At 45.4% G+C, this 18,684-nt stretch overlaps 1 protein-coding gene across 16 annotated transcripts in view, besides 1 other annotated feature; it reads right to left on the reverse strand.

Moving 5' to 3' along the window:
* The window catches only part of HDAC8 (histone deacetylase 8), a 243,328-nt gene that overhangs the window by 16,433 nt on the left and 208,211 nt on the right, over positions 1–18,684 (reverse strand). For 15 of the 16 annotated variants that reach the window (NR_199815.1, NR_051952.2, NR_199812.1 and 12 more), the window contains one exon: positions 5,785–5,890. Coding sequence is in view for 11 of the 16 variants with exons in the window: in XM_047442255.1 (XP_047298211.1) it covers positions 5,785–5,890 (106 nt within the window). In the remaining 5 variants the exon portion in view is untranslated. Of the gene's footprint in view, positions 1–5,784; positions 5,891–6,433; positions 6,530–18,684 lie in introns of all 16 variants that reach the window. The other variant, NR_199813.1, reaches the window with a different exon arrangement.
* Positions 3,319–3,378: an enhancer, noted in NCBI's record as "active region_29761". NCBI's record gives its function as "activates an Ori minimal core promoter by ATAC-STARR-seq in GM12878 lymphoblastoid cells {active_cell/tissue: GM12878}" and the evidence as "EXISTENCE:reporter gene assay evidence [ECO:0000049][PMID:35858748]".

Below are 18,684 nucleotides of genomic sequence, written 5' to 3' on the forward strand. Positions count from 1 at the left end.
GCTGGATTACAAGCTCGAGCCATGGCGCCCGGCCCAGAATTTTTAAAATTTTCAGCATGACATTTTTGTAACTTATTTTTCTGTTTAACAACAGCAATAACAACGATGACAAGAAGCCTTTCCATCTCTTATACTCTTTAGTGAAACAAGAAAGAGAGGAACTTGCTTGATGAAGAAGCCCAAGCTGGCAGTAGGCTCCTGGAAAGGACCACAGGGAGATGAAGAGGAATAAAGAGCCAGCAGGGGACAGGAAAGAGAGATAAAGGATGGACATCACAGAGATTTTCACCTGAAGTCATGCAAATTGGCTCAGGTATCCTCCAAAACCCTACTCTGAAGTCCTTCCAAGAAGCCCTAAAGCAAATGGTCAGTTTATCCTTGGGACCAACCCTACCTTTCAACTTATCCTCATGGCTTCTCAAGAAGAAAGAGACAGTGTGGAAGGAAGCCAAGTTTCCATGGTATAGAGTCCCACCATGCAGGAGCACTGCTTCAAGCCTGGGGCTCCAGCAGGCCTTGAATATGCGCAAACCTGAGCTCCAATTGCTAGCCCCTAGAAGGATGCCAATCCCGGATGTCAGGCTGCCAGAGGAAGTGCTGCTTATACGCAGCACAATGGTTCTCCTAAGAATATTACCAGTAGATGTGCAAAGGGTCTCAGATTGGGGCTGTGGAACTGCAAATGGCAGACTGGGTCTGGTGGCTACAGCACATTTCAGGCAGCAGGAGCTGGGTGAGCTGGCTTCTCCTACCTTCTGTCCATTTCTTTTCCTTCTCTACTAGGGAAAGGGAGCTAGAAGCTTCAGATTACACTATGGTGGGGGAGGGGGCGGGGCCTAGGGAGGGCTACAAAGCCTATGTCAGGGGCCAGAATTTCAAAGGTTGCCCAAGGCTGTCTTCTTCCCATTTCCAGGGAGTTTAGTGTTTAGGATTAGCCACATGGAAGAAGCTGGGCATGTAGTGTGAGGTAGGAGGGTTTACTAGGGGCGATCGGAAAGAGCAGACGGGATGATGAGCAGATTTGACAGAGCAATGCTGCCAAGGAGAGGAGGGAAATAAAGGTCAAACAGCCTGACTCTGAAGCTCCACTCCAGGCCTGTGTTCCAATGTCCACTCCACTGCTTATTAGCACAGTGTGTGGCACACAGTAGGTCCTCAGTAATTACCACCTGCTGAATGAATAAAGGCGATCTTGGCCAAGTCACCTATCCTCCCTGAGCCTCAGTTTCCTTATCTGTAAGATAAATAGTAGCTATTCTTCTTATTATTTCATCTGTGTTGTTTCTGTCCACACCCGTATCAGTTTGTTAGGTTGCCATCCTAAGGCTCCTTCAGTAAGGGGAAGAAAGGGCAGATGCATGCAAGGCCTTTTTCTTCCCTTGTGTCTTCTGCCTCCCCCTTCCCTCCTCCTCCTCCTTACTTCCTGACCTTGTTTGTTTCTTTTTCTCTCCCAGTCAAACCTGGGGAATAGTTCTGGGAACACAGAGCAAGTGTTGAAACCTCCAGTTACAACTGTAACACATTCTCACAAATGCACAACTCCCCCACTCCTGCTCCCCAAGAGGATTGGGCCTGGGCTGCAATGTGGAGCTCTGAGTCTCCTAGGGACCTCCACTTGATTCGAATGTCATCAGTACCAGAGACCAGAAAGCCTCCTACCTCTATCTGCATTTCCCCATGCAGAGCTAGCCAGGCTTGAGGAGCTAGCCCTCCCTGGGGATTAATCATATCAGCATTATTCCAACTCTGGAAGGTTCACCGTGAGCCAGTTCCTCTGGAGTACATTCACCAGAGGAAAGGCAACCAGCTTTAAGCAAATGAACATGGTGCAAGGATGATTTTACAATAGTAGTCATGAGCTGGACTAAGCCATCTGCTCTCTAACCTGTACTTTCTTATGAACAACGACACATGCCTTCAAGACAGCTCATTGGCACGAGAGGAGCTTTTCTCTGTGTGAAGCTAAGAGCTTGAATGGACTCTCCATGGTTTTGTGGGTCTTTTTCCTCTCAGAAAGACTAATGGGCAGTAAAGATGGGATAAGTTGAGGTCTAAATTTGCCTGTCCCTTCAGTCATCCTGTAGCATGCGGAACACATCTCTGTAAGATGAATCTTCTCAGGTTTGGTTTCCAATAGGCTACAGTCTCATCTTTTGTGCCTCTAAGGGATGTGGCAAGAAAGAGAAAAAGCCCAAGCTTAAAGGCTGAACAAATTCAACCAGATATGCTGGCTGAACTCCCACACATAGAGTGGAGCTGAATCCATTCATTCCCTCATTGCCATCTTACCTCTCCAAAGCAATCTGTGTCACATCCTACTCTTTGTTTTTCATGGGGTGAGGGGAGGTGGAGGGGAGGTACAGAGAGAAATGACCAGCTTCACTGAGGTTTTTATAAGCAAGAACAAATAACAGTCTTGTAGACAGGTTCAGGAAAATTTTTCAGAATTCAGAAAATTCAGCAGCCTTTCCACGCTGACCATTGTCATGGCAACGCACTATCTGATGGCAGCATGCGTCACCATGCTGAAGGGGCACAGTATCAGTATAGCAGGTTAGCCTGGCCATTTTTAGCAACATTTGGACTTCTTTCTAGCCTTGTTTCTTAAAGGTTTAGCTGAATTTCTCTTTGGTTCTGAGCTTGTGTGTTCCGCTAAATTTGCATGGCTAGAAAACAAGACTTTGTCAATATGAAAGGGATGGCTAAATGGAAAGTCTGAACATTCCTAGTATTCTGTAGCCACTCCACTTGCTGTCTACCCTCTCTGGCTCCTCCTCACCCACTCTTAGCCATGTAGTTTCTCTTCTTCTCTGCCTCAATTCTTTCCTATACACGGCATCACCTCCCCACACCCAACAACTGTGACTCATCTGCCAACCCCTGCACTCTCACCATATTCTTTCTTTTTCTATTTTCTCATTGTAATATACAGCATCCTAGAATCTTAGGGTTGGAAGGAGCCTTAACAGCAATTTAGTCCAATCACCCTCCCCCAAGGAAGGGGCCCTTCTACAATATGACAGCCTAGGGATTGTCTAGCTTCTATTTGTATATCTCCAGTGACAGAGACCTCATGCCTTTCTAGGCAGTCTGTTCCACTTTGGATAGTTCTAATTGTTAGAAAATGTCTTCCTTCTATTGAATGAAAATCTGCCTTTTTAAAATATCCATCCATGGGTCCAGCTCTATGCCTTGTGGCCACATAGACCCTGTCTATGCCCTTTGCACTGTGACAGATATATGAAGTAGAGACCACATCCCCGAGGTCTTCTCCAAAAGGTTCCAGCACCTCCAACCAGACCTTTTGGAGCCTGGGCTCCAGTCCTCTCCCCAGCCTGACTGACCTCCAGGAACATGCTCCTATTTGTCTAGAGCCCTTTAAAATGAGGTCGATACTGCATTAGCATCTCTGGAGGCCACCTTGCCCTGGTGACTCATACTGAGCTCCGAGTTGACTCAAATCCCTAATTCTCTTTTAGCAAAATGCTGCTAAGCCATGTTGCCCCAGTTTGCATGCATGTAGTTGCTTTTGTAGGACCCAATTTCTGGTCCATATGTTTTCCTCCAGTTTGATTTCATTGGGTTACAATCAGAATATTGCTTTAACCTGTTAGGATCTTTAAAAAGCTTGACTTCCATGTAATTTTCATGTCCTTTGAGATCTGTTATTTTTTTCACCAACCCTCGTCCTAGCCTTTTATCTCAAATCTCTTTTTGATTTTCTGCTCTTTTAGGGTTCTTACCTTTCCTCGTTCTCTTCCCTTTGCATTACCTTCCTTATGTCTTCTCTCACTTGTCATTTCCATTTCCTCAATAGCAAGATGCCACCACTCTCTGGAGCTATGTCCCTGGGTATGTGTGCAGGGAAGCAAGGGCATACACATATCTGCACATATGGAGGTGTGAGCGAGTAGCTGCAAGGCTTGCTTGGTTTCCCTGTTTCTATTGCTTTGTCTGTGCTCTACCAGGATTTAGAGCCTGGATGGGGGAAAATGGCAGAGTTGAAGGAAGAAGGGTAAGAGAAGCCGGTCCAGGATCAGTTCTGAGGAACACAGGACATGCGTACCAGGTTTGAGGGGAGCAGGGAAAACGGGCTGGATGGCTAGTGTTCATCAAGGCTGCAACACCATGAGAAGAACTGGAGAAGGGCCAGGAGTGGAAGGATTTTGAAGGCCTTAAAAGTTGGATAAGGGAGGAGGATTTTGTTAGGAAGCAAGGACTTGTGGGGTCAGTAGCCACTGAGAGGTGAGAGGGAGTTAGCTTGAAACTATAGGGTCGCGAGAAGGCTGAGGGCTAAGGGACGCCTCAGAGGGGACAATCAGCAATGCTGTGAGAATAACCTTGAGAGTCTATGACTTCTTAGCTTAAAAACTTTTCTCTGGCTAAATGAGCTCAGGACATGAAGACTTTGCTGCTGTCATTTACTGGGCTCTGCTAGTGGATAGGGGCATTAATGTAACTCACAGCAAAGACTCTCCGAGTGTAGTGTTTCCTCAGACTAACTCCAGCATAGAACAGGCCTCCTTTTTGTGTTGGATTATATTCCAGCGAGGGACTCAAAGGTAGGAGAACTGGTGCTATCTTGGTCATTTTATGAATAAACATGAGAATTTCCCTGTCCAGGTTAGGCAAAAAGATACCCTTGGCCTCTTAACTCTGGCAAATAATTAGGATCTAAAAAATACACATATGTATATGTACATTTAATTAAACAGGAAAATGGGTGCCAAAAATACGTAATGCGAATGGTGGATAAAGTGAGTTGTGAAGAAGCAGCTGGAGTTCAGAGGGGGCGCTACTAGAATGCTGAGGACAGTGACCCCAAACAGCCAGTGGACAGTGGGATCAGGAGGGAAATGCCCTGATGGCTGCCACTTCCCCTCTACCCCGAGGCCAGAATGATTCCAGGCCAGCCTTGGGGAAGGGAAGGAGGCTAGGCCGGGAAGGAGGCTAGGCCAGCAAGGAGGCTAGGCCAGCAGCCCATCTGCAGCACTCTGGCTGAGTCCAGGTAACCCACTCCCAGGGCATCAGAATCCCTGACTACTCATTGTAGTTCCACATTCTTTCAAGGCTCTACTGGATCAAGGACTCATACATACTGGAAGAGAATGCCTGTGAGCCCCCTCCCCACCCCTGCTAAGTCTGAATTGACTTGAATTTTCCTCTTTTTTTTTTTTGGGACAGGGTCTCGCCCAGGCTGGAATGCAGTGGTGTGGGCATGGCTCACTGCAGCCTCAACCTCTTGGGCTCAAGGGATCCTCCTGCCTCAGCCTCTCAAGTATTTGGGACCACAGGCATATGCCACTATGCCTGGCTAATTTTTAAATTTTCTGTAGAGATGGAATCTCGCTGTGTTGCTCAGGTTGGTTTTGAACTCCTGGGCTCAAGCAATCCTCCCGCCTCAGCCACCCAAAGTGCTGGGATGACAGGCGTAAGCCACGGTGCCCGGCCAACTTTTCTCATCTTAAAGAGTGCTTTACTATTGGCCTTTTGAAAGAAAAAGGGTCTCAGGGAACACTTTAGAGCTGATTTTCCCCTGGCAGTGCCAAAAGCTGAACCCTTTGTCCTTCTGAGGTGACATTAGCCAGCCAAATGACAATCCCAACCAGAGTGGCCAGTGTAGAATTCCAGCTACAAGCTGTCAGGCCAAGAAGAGGTTTCCTTTCCAAGTCAGTGAAATGATTAGCTTACCAAAAGGCAAATGGTATTTAAGGAAGCCCCCACTGATGGGCCACCACAAACTGGGTGGAACAAGGAGGGCAGGCCTCGAGGGGCGGTGCTCACCTTTGATGTAGTTGAGGATTTGTTGGATTCGGTGGGGCTCATTGCGGTCTGGCCGGCAGCTTGGCGTGATTTCCAGCACATAATCAGGACCATATGCTGTGAAAAACTGTAAGGAAAAGGGAAAGGCCAAAAAACAAATTAAGCCACATAAAACCTCCAAACCAACCACATACAAACAATCAAAAGAAACTCATACTACCAACAAGGCAAGGGAGGCCTCCTTGGGCAGAACAGGATGATGCAGCAGGAAGCCCTGCCTTGGTGGTATCACTACTCCCCTTGCTCAGACCTTCAATGATATTCCCCTGTGAAATTATTTAGCTTGCTGTCCAACGGTCTCTCTGCTTAGGTCTCAACTTTTCTCTCCAACTTCAGCTCTTACTGCTTCCTTGTCCTCTGGCCACACTAGACTGCTTGGTGCTCTTCCAAATCACACCGTGCTTTCTCTTTCCTTAGGATCTTTGCCATTGCTCTTTCCTGGGGACTGCAAAGGCCCTCCCCCAGTCCCCACTGCCTGTGAAAAACCTCCCCATCCTTCCAGGCACAGCTCAAATGTCACCTCCTTCACAAAGCTGTCCCTCCTTCTCCACCAACCCCAAGAGCATTCTGTTGGTACTTCTTTCAGGGCCCTTAAATACACAGTACTTGCCTGCACATCACATGCAGGTCATTGTGCTTGTTGCAGAGGGACTATAAAGATGGATGAGACCTCCTCTGGGGTCCTCTAGGTGTTCACAGGCATATTCTGCATTGGGTAGAGATTTTTCAACAGTGACCCAATCGCCCCACACTGGACTGTCAGCTCCCCGAAGGCAGGCAGCACCTGTGTCTTATTCATTTCCTTGGTCCCCACAGACCATGGCAGCTGCTTTGTTAGTTTTGGTTGCCTTGAATTCCCTGGCCCAGGAATGGCAAAGAAGTCTAGTTTCTCTACTTTAATTTTTCTTTCTCTATAGTAGAGTTTATTTGTTTTTTAATTCAAAGAATCAAAATAAATGTTTGTGGATTCTATTTCTAGCTTGGTAGATGACTCCTTGTGACCACTGGGGAGTCACAATATCTGATTCAGCTTCTCTGGTAGGGCTGACTTGGGGAAAACCACTCCACGACAAAGGGAATCATTCAATTGGGATAAGTCTTTGAATGGGAAATATGCAAAGCTACTATTTCTGTTTAGTTTTTAACAGAAATAGTATTTGTGCACACTCTCCAGAGGGAGAGCATATGGTCCTTAACATTATGTGCTTTCAATAGTGATATTGTTAGGTGGTAAGTAAACCAGGGAAATTCAAATTCCATGAAAACAAAATGGTACAGAGGGCATGAAAAAAGGATCTTGATATACGTCATGACTTTGATGCCATTCAAAGAGCTTCTTAAAAATAATCCAGAGTTATTGCCATTGTCACCAAATTATCCTTGTTAAGAGTCTGAATGTACATCTGGCACCGTGGGAGATGTTGTGGAACAATCTCTAGGGATTCTAACAGTGTCTTTGTAGATTCCATGGAAGTAACTTGATTGGGAGATGGTTTTGCATATCCATGACAGAAAACTCTACACATTTAATTAAAAGAAAAATGGCCAAGACTGTGCCAATGTTTATAATGCCCTTTGTGTGTGTATATGTGTGTATGGACTGATCTAGAAAGAGAGAGGGGCTTAGGTCCTTCCTGCTGGAGTTATTACTCTCTGATACCTGAAGCCCTGAGTTCCAGAGATAGAAAAGGCTTTGAGTAGAGATTGGCTTTACCAAACCCATATGTGGAACAGACAAGAGAGGTTACCTGGGGGACACATCCAGAACCATTACCCCCTTTCCCCTGTATCATGGTTGAAGAAACTTGAGAGGCTTGTATTTTTAGCTAAGGAGGGCCCCTCAGTCCAAGTTTGAGGAATTTGTGGGCTTGGCTATGGAAGAGAAGGTTTTAAACAGGTGTGACACTCTCTCCTTAGGCAGCCTCTTCCCCAGAGTGTGTCAAGTGGTACACTCATTTCATGGGTATGGAAAGACAGGCTTAGATAGCGCAACAGAAGAAAGGCAGCTGCAATGAAGAAGCTCCTCTTGGAGACCTGAAGCCCTGGCATCAACGTGCTATAAAGATCAGGTGCAGGGTACCTAGCTGAGGTATAGGAGGAGGGAATGTTCTGCCTCCAGGTGCGAAGATGACACTGCTGATTCTCTGTCAGTGACACATCATGAGCTGCTTGATTAGGGCTGAGTGTTTGGAACAACACGTCCTCACTTATGTGTGCCTATTATGCACTTACCCTCACTCTCCTACTTTAGCTCCCTCTTTGACCAAGAGCATATGGTTGCAAGATGGTCAGCTGGGACCAGGACTGGCTGCTATGTGACAGAACTCAATTCTACTGGGATTAAGCCTGTTGTCCTGGTTTCATTAGCACCTGGTTTTAACTAACTGAGCGACACGGTAGGCACAGTCATACATAACCCATTCTTTGCTGAAGCAGGCTGGCTGCTGGTAATAATAGCAAAGTCTGGGTTCCTCAAGTTCTCCCCACCTTTGCCAATCAGATGTTATTCCCAGGTCCTGCTTATTTGCACTGTTCTTAGGTTAGGGGACTCAGATTGTTTAAGAAAGTCCTTGTGTTGTGAGCCAGTTCTACATGGCAGCTGGCTGGCCTGCAAAGGTAGAAACTTCTGTCATGTTCTGTTTGCATACCCTGCAGTGTCCAACTCAAGTCATCACGGGTTTCCCTTAAATGTATGTTGAATTAAATTAACTCACCAAGGGTTTAGCTAGCCATATAGCTAATTGTGTGAAATAATTCAAAGAATCAATTCATAGCATTAACAGTTTTTCTAGACTCTTGAGGCAGCATGATGAAGTGGAAAGAGCACTGGCTTTAGAGTTGGGGGAGCTAGATTTTGGTGCCTGGATTTAGCTTGTGTGTCTCAGGTAAGCTTCATTTAAAAAAAATTTTTTAAATGTCAATAGCTTTTGGGGGTACAAGTAGTTTTTGGTTACATGGATGAATTATATAGTGGTGAATTCTGAGATTTTAGTGTACCTGTCATCAGGTAAGCTTTTTAATCTCTGTTTCATCATTTCCACCTGACGATGACAAATGCTGACCTGGTTGGGCTGTTAGGAGCCAATGAGATAATATCTATAAAAGGGCCTAGCATAGGGCCCAGCACATACTAGGACTTCAATAAATGTGAATTCCCTTCTCCTGGGGCAAGAGGCCCTTGCCTAACCAAGCCTCATCCACACCCTGAAGGATGTCAGGTGAAGCGCTTAGGGCCGAGATGTAGAAAGATGAGTCTGTTCTTCCTGCCAGACCAAGCCCAGCAGCCTCAGTGTCCCTCCCCGCTTGCTTAAGCCATTAGCTTAGCCTAGGAGAAACTGACTAGCCTGTGGAGAAACTGACTTCTCTCATAGTTTTCTGCCCTATGGTCCTGCCACTTGTTACTTACTGGCGAGGTGGAAAGGAAATATGATCACGTAAGGCAAAAGAGATGTTGGAGTGGAGGGATTTGGCTAGAACTAGAAATAGCTTGAGGCCCCTCCAGCCCCGAAGAGGAAAGGAAATGGGCAAGCAGCAATCCCATTCCCAGACAGGTGGAGCAGGGGATGAAAGAGGCCAGCTGACCTTCAAGGGAAAATGCTGGCTTTGATCTCACTGAAGGAAAGAGGGAGGTGCTAACCTCTCTCCACCCCTTCCCCTTTCCCCCTCAGCACTTCTTTTGCTTTCTGGGCTTCAGTTTATGCACTTTTGAGGGGGAACATGGTACTGAAAAGGGGGCAAATGGAAAGTATGAGATGGGGCAGAGGGATGGAAGTGAAAGGTAGTGGCTATTCTAGGGTAGTTGGTCCCTTCTCAACCCTAGAGTCAATGAAGAAAGAAATGTAAATAGCTCAGCTTGAGTTCAGATCAGCCCAAGCTTGAGTTCAGTTCAGCCCACCTCAATGCTCTTTTCTTGTTCATGTCTCTCCAGGTCTTACTCACACAGTGAAAGCGGCATACAATTAGATAGTTGGTCAAAAAGATATTCAGAAGAAGCCCTAAGGTTGCTGTTATTCCTCCATAATCATGTTTGATTAGAGGAAACCAAGCAACGAACCTGAATCCACCAATCCTTTTATCCTTGCTTCAACATTTAGTAAGTATCTACTATGTGCCCAGCTAGGTTAGTCATTGGGGTACAAAGACAATAAGACACGTTTCATAGGAGGGATTATTATAGAGCAGTGTGATGAGTGGTATAATATTAACAATACTACACGTATTACAAGCTTATTATGTGTCAGGCACCTAAAGTGTCTAAGCATTTTTAATAGATTGACTAACTTAATTCTCACAACCAACCCATGCAGTAGGTACTACTATTGTTTCCATTTGAAGCTGAGGATCTGAAGCCCAGGACAGTAGGATAACTTGACAGAAGTCATGCAGCTGGTATGTGTGGAGCGGAGATTTGAACTCACGTCATTCTGAAGATCAGCACTAGCTATGGTAGCCTATACACTACCCAGAAAAAGTGACTGTGGAGTAGAGTCTGCAAAGGGGGTATAGAGGATGGGAGGGAGGCAGAGAGTATGAAACATAAGGGGCACATTTCAGGTATTGAAGTGAATTAGATATGACTAGGGGGCACGGACAAGGAGAAGAAGGACACAAGGCTAGGGAGGCAGGCATGCATTTCATGATGGGCCCTGCTAAGGCATTTGGCTTTATCCCCGACTAGAAGGTCCGTGAAGGCAGGACATTGTTTTGTTCCCTGCTGCATTGCCAGTTTCCAAAACAGTGTGTGCACCTAGTAGGTGGTAGATATTTGTGGGATAAGTGAGTAGAAGCTTGTGGGAGATACTGCAAGCTTTTTTTTTTTTGGGGATGGAGTCTCACTCTGTCGCCCAGGCTGGAGTTCAGTGTCGTGATCTCGACTCACTGCAGCTTCCACCTCCCCTCCCGGGTTCAAGTGATTCTCCTGCCTCAGCCACCCGAGTAACTGGGACTACAGGAGCACACCACCATGCCCAGCTAATTTTTGTATTTTTAGTAGAGACGGGGTTTCACCATGTTGGCCAGGATAGTCTTGATTGAATGCCTGACCTCAGGTAATCTGCCTGCCTTGGCCTCCCAGAGTGCTGGGATTAGAGGCACGAGCCACCATGCCCAGCCTTCTGCAAGCTTTTAAATGAGGGAATGAAGAGATCAGCTGTGCATTTTAGAGGGCTCAGAGGCTACAGCGTGGAGAAGGTATCGGAATTTGAGGAGAGGAATGCAAGTAGGGACACCAGTTAGAAGGCTGCTGCTGTAGCCCTGTGGAATGGTAATAGGGCTTGAACCAGGAGAGGGTGGAAGGAATAGAATGATAGAAAAACTTCAAAGATAGCATCAATAGGGTTAAACAGTAAATTGCATGTGGGGAATAAGGAAGAGGGGAATGGCAAGGATTTCTGGCTGTGTGGGAGGAGCATGAACGGGATGAAGGATACAAGCAGAGGAGAAGGTTCGGTGGTAGGGTGTACGTGTGTGAGAGGGGAGTTCAGTTAGGAGCATGTTGAGGGTCAGGATGCTGATGACAGAGTGGTCTCTTAGTTTAGGAGAGAGGTTGGGCCTACGACACAATGCATGTCATAGATTTAGGAGTTACCAGCAACGTAAAATCAAGGAATTGGACAAGATTGCCATGGTTGCTGGGGGTGGGGGGAGCTTACTACAGAGTAAGAAGAGGGGAGAGGCAAGGAAAAATCATGGGGAACAGCAATACTTCAGAGGTGGGCACAGGAGTGGAAACAGTTCTGGCGACAATTTGAAATCTTGCTGAGAGGGTAAAAAAGAGGGAGGCTGAAAGGTGTCTTCTGATTTGTCCATTGGAAAGAGACCTTTGCTGCAGCAAAGTCAGTGGAGGGTGGGCAGAGGCCTAATGGGAGTGAGGAGGCAGAGATGAGAGTGATGACGGGAATACAGTAGTCCCCACCTTATTCCCGTGGGATAGATTCTAAGACTCCCAGCGGATGCCTAAAACTGCAGATAGTACCGAGCCTGATTGCTGTCAATCAGAACAGGTTTCTCTTGTCTTCCACCCACAGATTTAATGCCTTTTCCTTCTTAACTAGGCATTTATCCTTTACTGTGGCTTAACTTTTGCAGTTTGAGGCGCGAAAGCAAACCTAGCACAGAGCACAGATTTCTTTTCTTTCTTTCTTTTTTTTTTTAGACGGAGTCTCGCTCTTTTGCCCAGGCTGGAGTGCGGTGGCATGATCTCGGATCACTGCAACCTCCACCACCCAGGTTCAGGCGATTCTCCTGCCTCAGCCTCCCGAGTAGCTGGGATTATAGGCGCGCACCACCACGTCTGGCTAATTTTTTTGTATTTTCAGTAGAGACAGGGTTTCACCATGTTGGCCAGGCTGGTCTCGCCTGGTCTCCAACTCCTGACCTTAAGTGATCCGCTCGCCTCAGCCTCCCAAATTGCTGGGATTACAGGTGTGAGCCACCATGCCCGGCTCTTCAGGATTTCATGGATAGATTTGTTCTTATTGTAGATCTTAGTAACCTCAGCATATGATTTTTTTCCTTCCTTAAGTTAAGAACTTTCACCTTTTCACTAAAGGAAGTACTTTATGGTTTCTCTTTGGCATATCCGAACTGCCTGCATCACTACTCTTGTGCTGTGGGGCCATTATTAAGCAAAATAAGGGTAATTTGAACACAAGCACTGTGATACTGTGACAGTTGGTCTGATAATCAAGACAGCTACTAAGTGACTAATGGCGGGTAGCATAGATGGCATGGATACTCTGGACAAAGGGATGATTCACATCCTGGGTGGGAGGGAGCAGGACAGTGTGAGGTTTTATCATGCTATTCGGAACAGTATGCAATTTAAAACTTGAGAATTGTTTATTTCTGGAATTTTCCATTTAATATTTTTGGACCACAGTTGACACAGCAGGTAACTGAAACTAAGAAAAGGGCGGTTAAGAAGGAGACTAGTGTATACCAGCAGTCCCCAACCTTTTTGGCATCAGGAACCGGTTTTGTGGAAGATAATTTTTCCACGGACCAGGGAGGTGGGGATGGTTTCAGGATGAAACTGTCCCACCTCAGATCATTAGGCATTAGTTAGATTTTCATAAGGAGTGCACAACCTAGATCCCTTGCACATGCAGTTCACAATAGGGTTCACACTCCTATGAGAATCTAATGCTGCCCCTGATCTGACAGGAGGTGGAGCTCAGATGGTAATGCTCACTTGCCTGCTGCTCACCTCTTGCTGTGTGTCCCGGTTCCTAACAGGCCACCAGCCCCGTGGCCCCAGGGGGGTTGGGGACCCCTGCTGTATACTGTTTTTTTTTTTTCTTTTTTTTCAGGAGTTTGATACGGGGGTAGGGCTGGGGTAGGTGGGTGTTTTAAGATGGGAGGATATTAAGTATGTTTATGGGCTGAGGGAAAAGAATCTATAGGATGGGAGTCAGGGGCAGCATAATAGGTATTTCGAGTTAGTTATGTCTGTATTTCTGGCCCATTAGACAGAGATCCACAAGGGAAGAATACTGTTTTTTTTTTTAAATCTCTATATTATCCACAGCTCCTAACATAAGGCCTGGAAAATAAAAGGCACCCAATTCATGTTTGCTGAATGAATGAAATAAAATGATTGGGATTCTGAACAGATTCACATCCAGTAGGGCGAATTAGGTTCTTGAAGGATGGGGTGATTCTAGACAGGCAGGCATGGAGTGTGTGTCGGGGGATAGTTAGAGGAGGCAAGAGAATGCAGGACAAGTTTGGGGAAGAGCAAGTGCTGTTAGTGGGCTAATGTTGGAAAAAGAGAGCACAGGAAGCCTTGATTCCCATGTTGAGGAGACAGGACATGATGTGACAGGCAATGAGGCAGGGTCAGGACTGAAGCTGTGCCTTATGGGAACTGAGAGCAGCAAATGCAAAGCTGGGTGACTGATGTAGAGGCACCTGCAATAGTACAAGGTGGGGGACAAAAAAGGCTTGAACCAGAGTGATTGCTGTGGGGATGGAGTGGATGGGAAAGAGATACTGTGATGGGGCTGAGCGTGGTGGCTCTCTCCTGTAATCCTAGCACTTTGGGAGGCTGAGGCAGGTGGATCTCATGAGGCCAGGAGTTCGAGACCAGCCTGGCCAACATGATGAACTCCCATCTCTACTAAAAATACAAAAATTAACTGGGCATGGTGGTGCATGCCTGTAGTTCCAGCTACTTGGGAGGCTGAGGCATGAGAATCCTTGAACCCAGGAGGCAGAGGTTGCAGTGAGTCAAGATTGCACCACTGCACTCTAGCCAGGGTGATACAGTGGGACCCTGTCTCAAAAAAAGAAAAAAAAAAAAAGTCTGGGCGTGGTGGCTCACGCCTGTAATCCCATCACTTTAGGAGGGTGAGGCGGGCAGGTCACGAGGTCAGGAGTTCAAGACCAGCCTGCCCAAAGTGGTGAAACCCTGTCTCTACTAAAAATACAAAAATTAGCCAGGTGTGGTGCCGCACACCTGTAATCCCAGCTCCTAGGGAGGCTGAGGCAGGAGAATCTCTTGAACCCAGGAGGCGGAGGTTGCAGTGAGCCGAGATTGCACCACTGCATTCCAATCTGGGTGACAGAGCGAGACTCCGTCAAAAAAAAAAAAGAAGAAGAAAGAAAGAGCTTCTGTCCAAATCCCTTTCTATAAAAATCCAAGCAGCTCTCACATTTTTTATTGTTAACTCACAGTCTACTTTTTCCTAAAAATTATACTTGCTTCTATCAGGGCAAGCCCAAGGTCAATGCCAATCTCTCTTGCAGACCCCTGAGGCTTTACTGTTTTTAGTTGGGGAAGTCATGCCTGTGACGGTAATGTGGGTTCTGGTCAGGAAGAGCATTTCTTGTCCTGAATCACTGTTTGAAAAGAACTCATCATGACCAGAATAACACGGCACCAGCACTTTGAACCATAACATGGTCTTGAATGATGCTTCTCAATCTTTCCTATATCACCAATTACTCCATCAAAGAACTTAGGCTCAACCATGATGGAAACAAAAAAGCCCTCTTTTTTCCCAGAAAAACATTTCTGTTTACAGGAAATTCAGTGAATACATATGGCATTTATGGTACATTTTAAGGACATAAAATTGCAGTGATATTATTGGGAGTAGATTTTATTGCCATGGCTTTACAACACAGACAAACAAAAATAATAACTCCATTAGTTGTTGAATTGAACTGGCAGGAAGCAGCACATCAAAAGCGCTTGTGAGCAGGCAGGAGGATGGGGGATTGGGAGTGTCCAGAGCACAACCAAAAGGTCAGGGAGATAGGGGCTATTGAAGATAAGATGCTACATGTGGAGGTGAAGATGGGGATGGAAAAAAAGTGAATTCTTAGTTGCTGGAATAGAAACCTGGTGTCCTGTCTAGACTACATCTGTATCCTACCTGTGGTACTCATTTTACCTCTGAACACAGAGTTGGCACTTAAGAACTGCTTGGTGGTGAGGCTTATACACCAGTGCATGGTCGTGCCAAGAATTGTTTGAGTGAATGAAGAGGGCATGGAAATGGTTTTATTTTTCAGATATTTTAATGGTTTTACCTATTGGTATAAAAAAGTTTATTAAGCAAAATAATCAAGTAAACCTGGGAAATGTTATCTTAATGGAGCACTAATTATTATAATTATTATTATTATTTAGAGGCAAGATCTCACTCTGTCACCCAGGCTGGTGTGCAGTGATGCAATCATAGCTCACTGTAACTTGAGCACTAATTACATTTAAGCAAAGAATATGCTCAATATTAACATCTTATTTCATTAGCTAAAGTACTTAGAGGCTTTCATGAACACATATATATAGCCCATTTGCATGTCATCTAATTAGTAGGTTCTTATGTTAGTCAATCCACAGTAGTGTGTGTGTGCGTGTATATGTTTGCATGTGTGCACATGAATGCATTGTACTAGGTGCTAAGCATCATTCTAGGCCCTGGGGGCAAGCTGAGTACCAAAAAAAAAAAAAAATAAGGTCTGGTGACTGCTCTCAAGGAGATGACAATCAAATAGAGAGGGAAGATATAATTATAGCAAAAGCAGAGGAATAAATCCAAGCTAAAGTATGTGGTATTGGTTAGTGTACAATAAAATGCCCTCACATGTGGGGGGCACTGGACAAATTAGGTGACTTATCCAAGATCATAACCTTAACACTATGTAATACAGTTAAGAGATATGAACTTGAACCAATGACTTTGAACTTCCCATTTTATAGGCTTCCACTATGTCATGAAGCAATACGCACAGCAGTTAAAGACTGAGATTTCTGGAGTCATATGGGATGAGCCCTACATCTTTGCTCTACACTGATGTAGTTTGGATGTGTGTCCTCTCCAAATTTCACATTGAAATGTGATCCCCAATGTTGGAGGTGGGGCCTGGTGGGATGTGTTTGGGTCATGGGTGCGGATCCTCATGAATGGCTTGGTGCTCTCCCCATGGTAATCAGTGCATTCTTGCTCTGAGAGTTCATGTCACATTTGTTGTTAAAAGAGTCAGGAACCTCCCCCGTCTCTCTCTTGCTTCCTCTCTGGCCATGTGACATGCTGGCTCCCCTTTGCCTTCCACCATGATTGAAAGTTTCCTGAGGCCTCGCCAGAAGATGTTGGTGTCATGCTTGTACAGCCTGCAAAACTGTGAGCCAATTAAGTCTTTTTTCTTTATAGATTACCCAGCCTCAGGTATTCCTTCATAGCAATGCAGATGGACTAACACAACCACCTACTAGCTGTGTGACCTTAGGCAAGTGACTTAACTGTTCTGTATTTTGGTATTCTTGTTTGTAAAATGGGAATAATAACAGAACCTACCTTTTAGGATTGTTGTGACAATAAATGAGTGAATTCATGTAAAGAACTTAGAACAGTGTGCTTGGCTTATTATAAATGCTCAGTAAATACTATTAAATGCTGAATATTATCATTCTTTTTCTTGTGCTTTATCAACTGTACAAAGAAACAGAGCTCTGAATGTAATGGGCAGTAGTAAAATTGGATTTCTTTACAAATGTCCATTTAGACTGAATGAGGGTGAATTCTTAAGAGCTTACCCTGTATCCCAAAACCCTGAAGCCAGAAAGAGTGGCAGAGAGATCAAGAAGAGAAGGATTCCAAGTGAAAATGACTATTAAGAAAGATGGAAAAGAAGAGGAGGGAATGAGAAACTTGAAGTGGTAGGAGAGAGAGGCACAGGACAGAGGTGACAGAAAGGAGTAGAAGAGATAAAAATGAGAAGGGGCTTAGATTGGGAAGGGGAAGAAGGAGGTCTAGAGGAGGAGACAGGAAAGACAAGGGCAGGGTGGCAGGGGTCTCCCTGCAGGCCAGAATTTTCCTTCAGGGTATGGTTTCAAGAGTTTTAGGGAAGAGCCCTGGCCAAGACTAATACCTTGCCCCATCACTGCTGATCCTCAAATTTCCACGATTAGAGACAATTCCTTCTTCATACTGTGTGCAGAGCCAACTCTGGTTATACCATATGTCTCTGTTAATCAAATGAATATTTTGGAAACAAGCCTACACACGAAGGTTTTTTACATCAAATTTTCCTTAAGCCAAGGGTGGGGATGGAAGAAGGAAGGGTATAGGGATATTGCTTTACCTGGCTTGTTGCTGGACAAGTACTAAGATGACTTTGAAAACTGCTTCTACTGGAGGATTAATAAGAATTGATCCTTACACTACTCCAAACAACTGCCCTCTCTCTATCCCTTCACTTCTGAACCTCTTAAAATTTCTCTTTTCTTCAACACCTTGACCTCCTCATTTCTCAGACACTTCAACTCACTGCAACCCACACCTCCAATGAACTTTTTTTTTTTCTTTTTGAGATGGAGTCTTACTCTGTCACCCATGCTGGAGTGCAATGGAGCAATCTTGGCTCACTACAACCTCCGCCTCCCAGGTTCAAGCGATTCTCCTGCCTCAGCCTCCCGAGTAGCTGGGATTACAGGCGTGGACCACCACACCCAGCTAAATTTTTTGTATTTTTAGCAGAGACAGGGTTTTACCATGTTGGCCAGGCTGGTCTTGAACTCCTGACCTCAGGTGATCCACCCGCCTTGGCCTCCCAAAGTGCTGGGATTACAGGCATGAGCCACCGTGCCCAGCCTTGAACTGTTTTTTAGAAGAGAGATGGCAAAGAGATTTCAGCTTCTTGACAACTCGGATCAATTGGTAGTAGCTGCTTGGGGTACTGTGTTGAGAAAGATTCTGAAGCTGTGCCTTGGTTCAACAGGGAAGCAGGCCATGATCAATTTGTAATGTATCCATAGGAGTACATAGACCCCGGCAGGGTGGGGTCTGAGGGCACGTAGTCATATGTGCCCTACATTTGCTATTCCTGCTTTAGGACATCAAGAGTGACCTCCTAATTGCCCAACTAAGGTCTTCTTTTCAGTTATCACTCATCCTATTTGATCTCTCTCCAGCACATGTCATCACACTATCTTCTCTCTCATAACCACTGCTCTCCCTGTTCCTTCTCAGTCTCCTTCCCTGGATCCTCTTCTTTCATCTGTCTCTGAAATGTAGGTGCCCTCAGGTTATATCCTCAGCCTCTCTTCTTTCTCTTTGCAGGAGTTCGCGCCCTCTGTTGGTGTTGTAATCACGCCTATGTGGAGATCCTACATCTCTGGGTCCTGTCAGTGTTTGTCACCAGCCTCTGACGTGCATTTATAATCATCTGCTGGACATTTCTACCTGGAAAATTTGAATTCTTGGTATTTTGCATAATGTGTTCCAAGTAGAGCTAATTGTAAGTCCTTCCAAAGAGAATGCTCATCATCTTTTTTTTGTTTACTCAAAAAGTCCCACCATACAATAAGCTCTTCAAGAAAGATTTGTACTTATGACCCTGAATGGGTTAGTG

This window comes from Homo sapiens, chromosome X (genome assembly GCF_000001405.40).
Source record: "Homo sapiens chromosome X, GRCh38.p14 Primary Assembly".
In the NCBI taxonomy this organism is placed as follows: domain Eukaryota; kingdom Metazoa; phylum Chordata; class Mammalia; order Primates; family Hominidae; genus Homo; species Homo sapiens.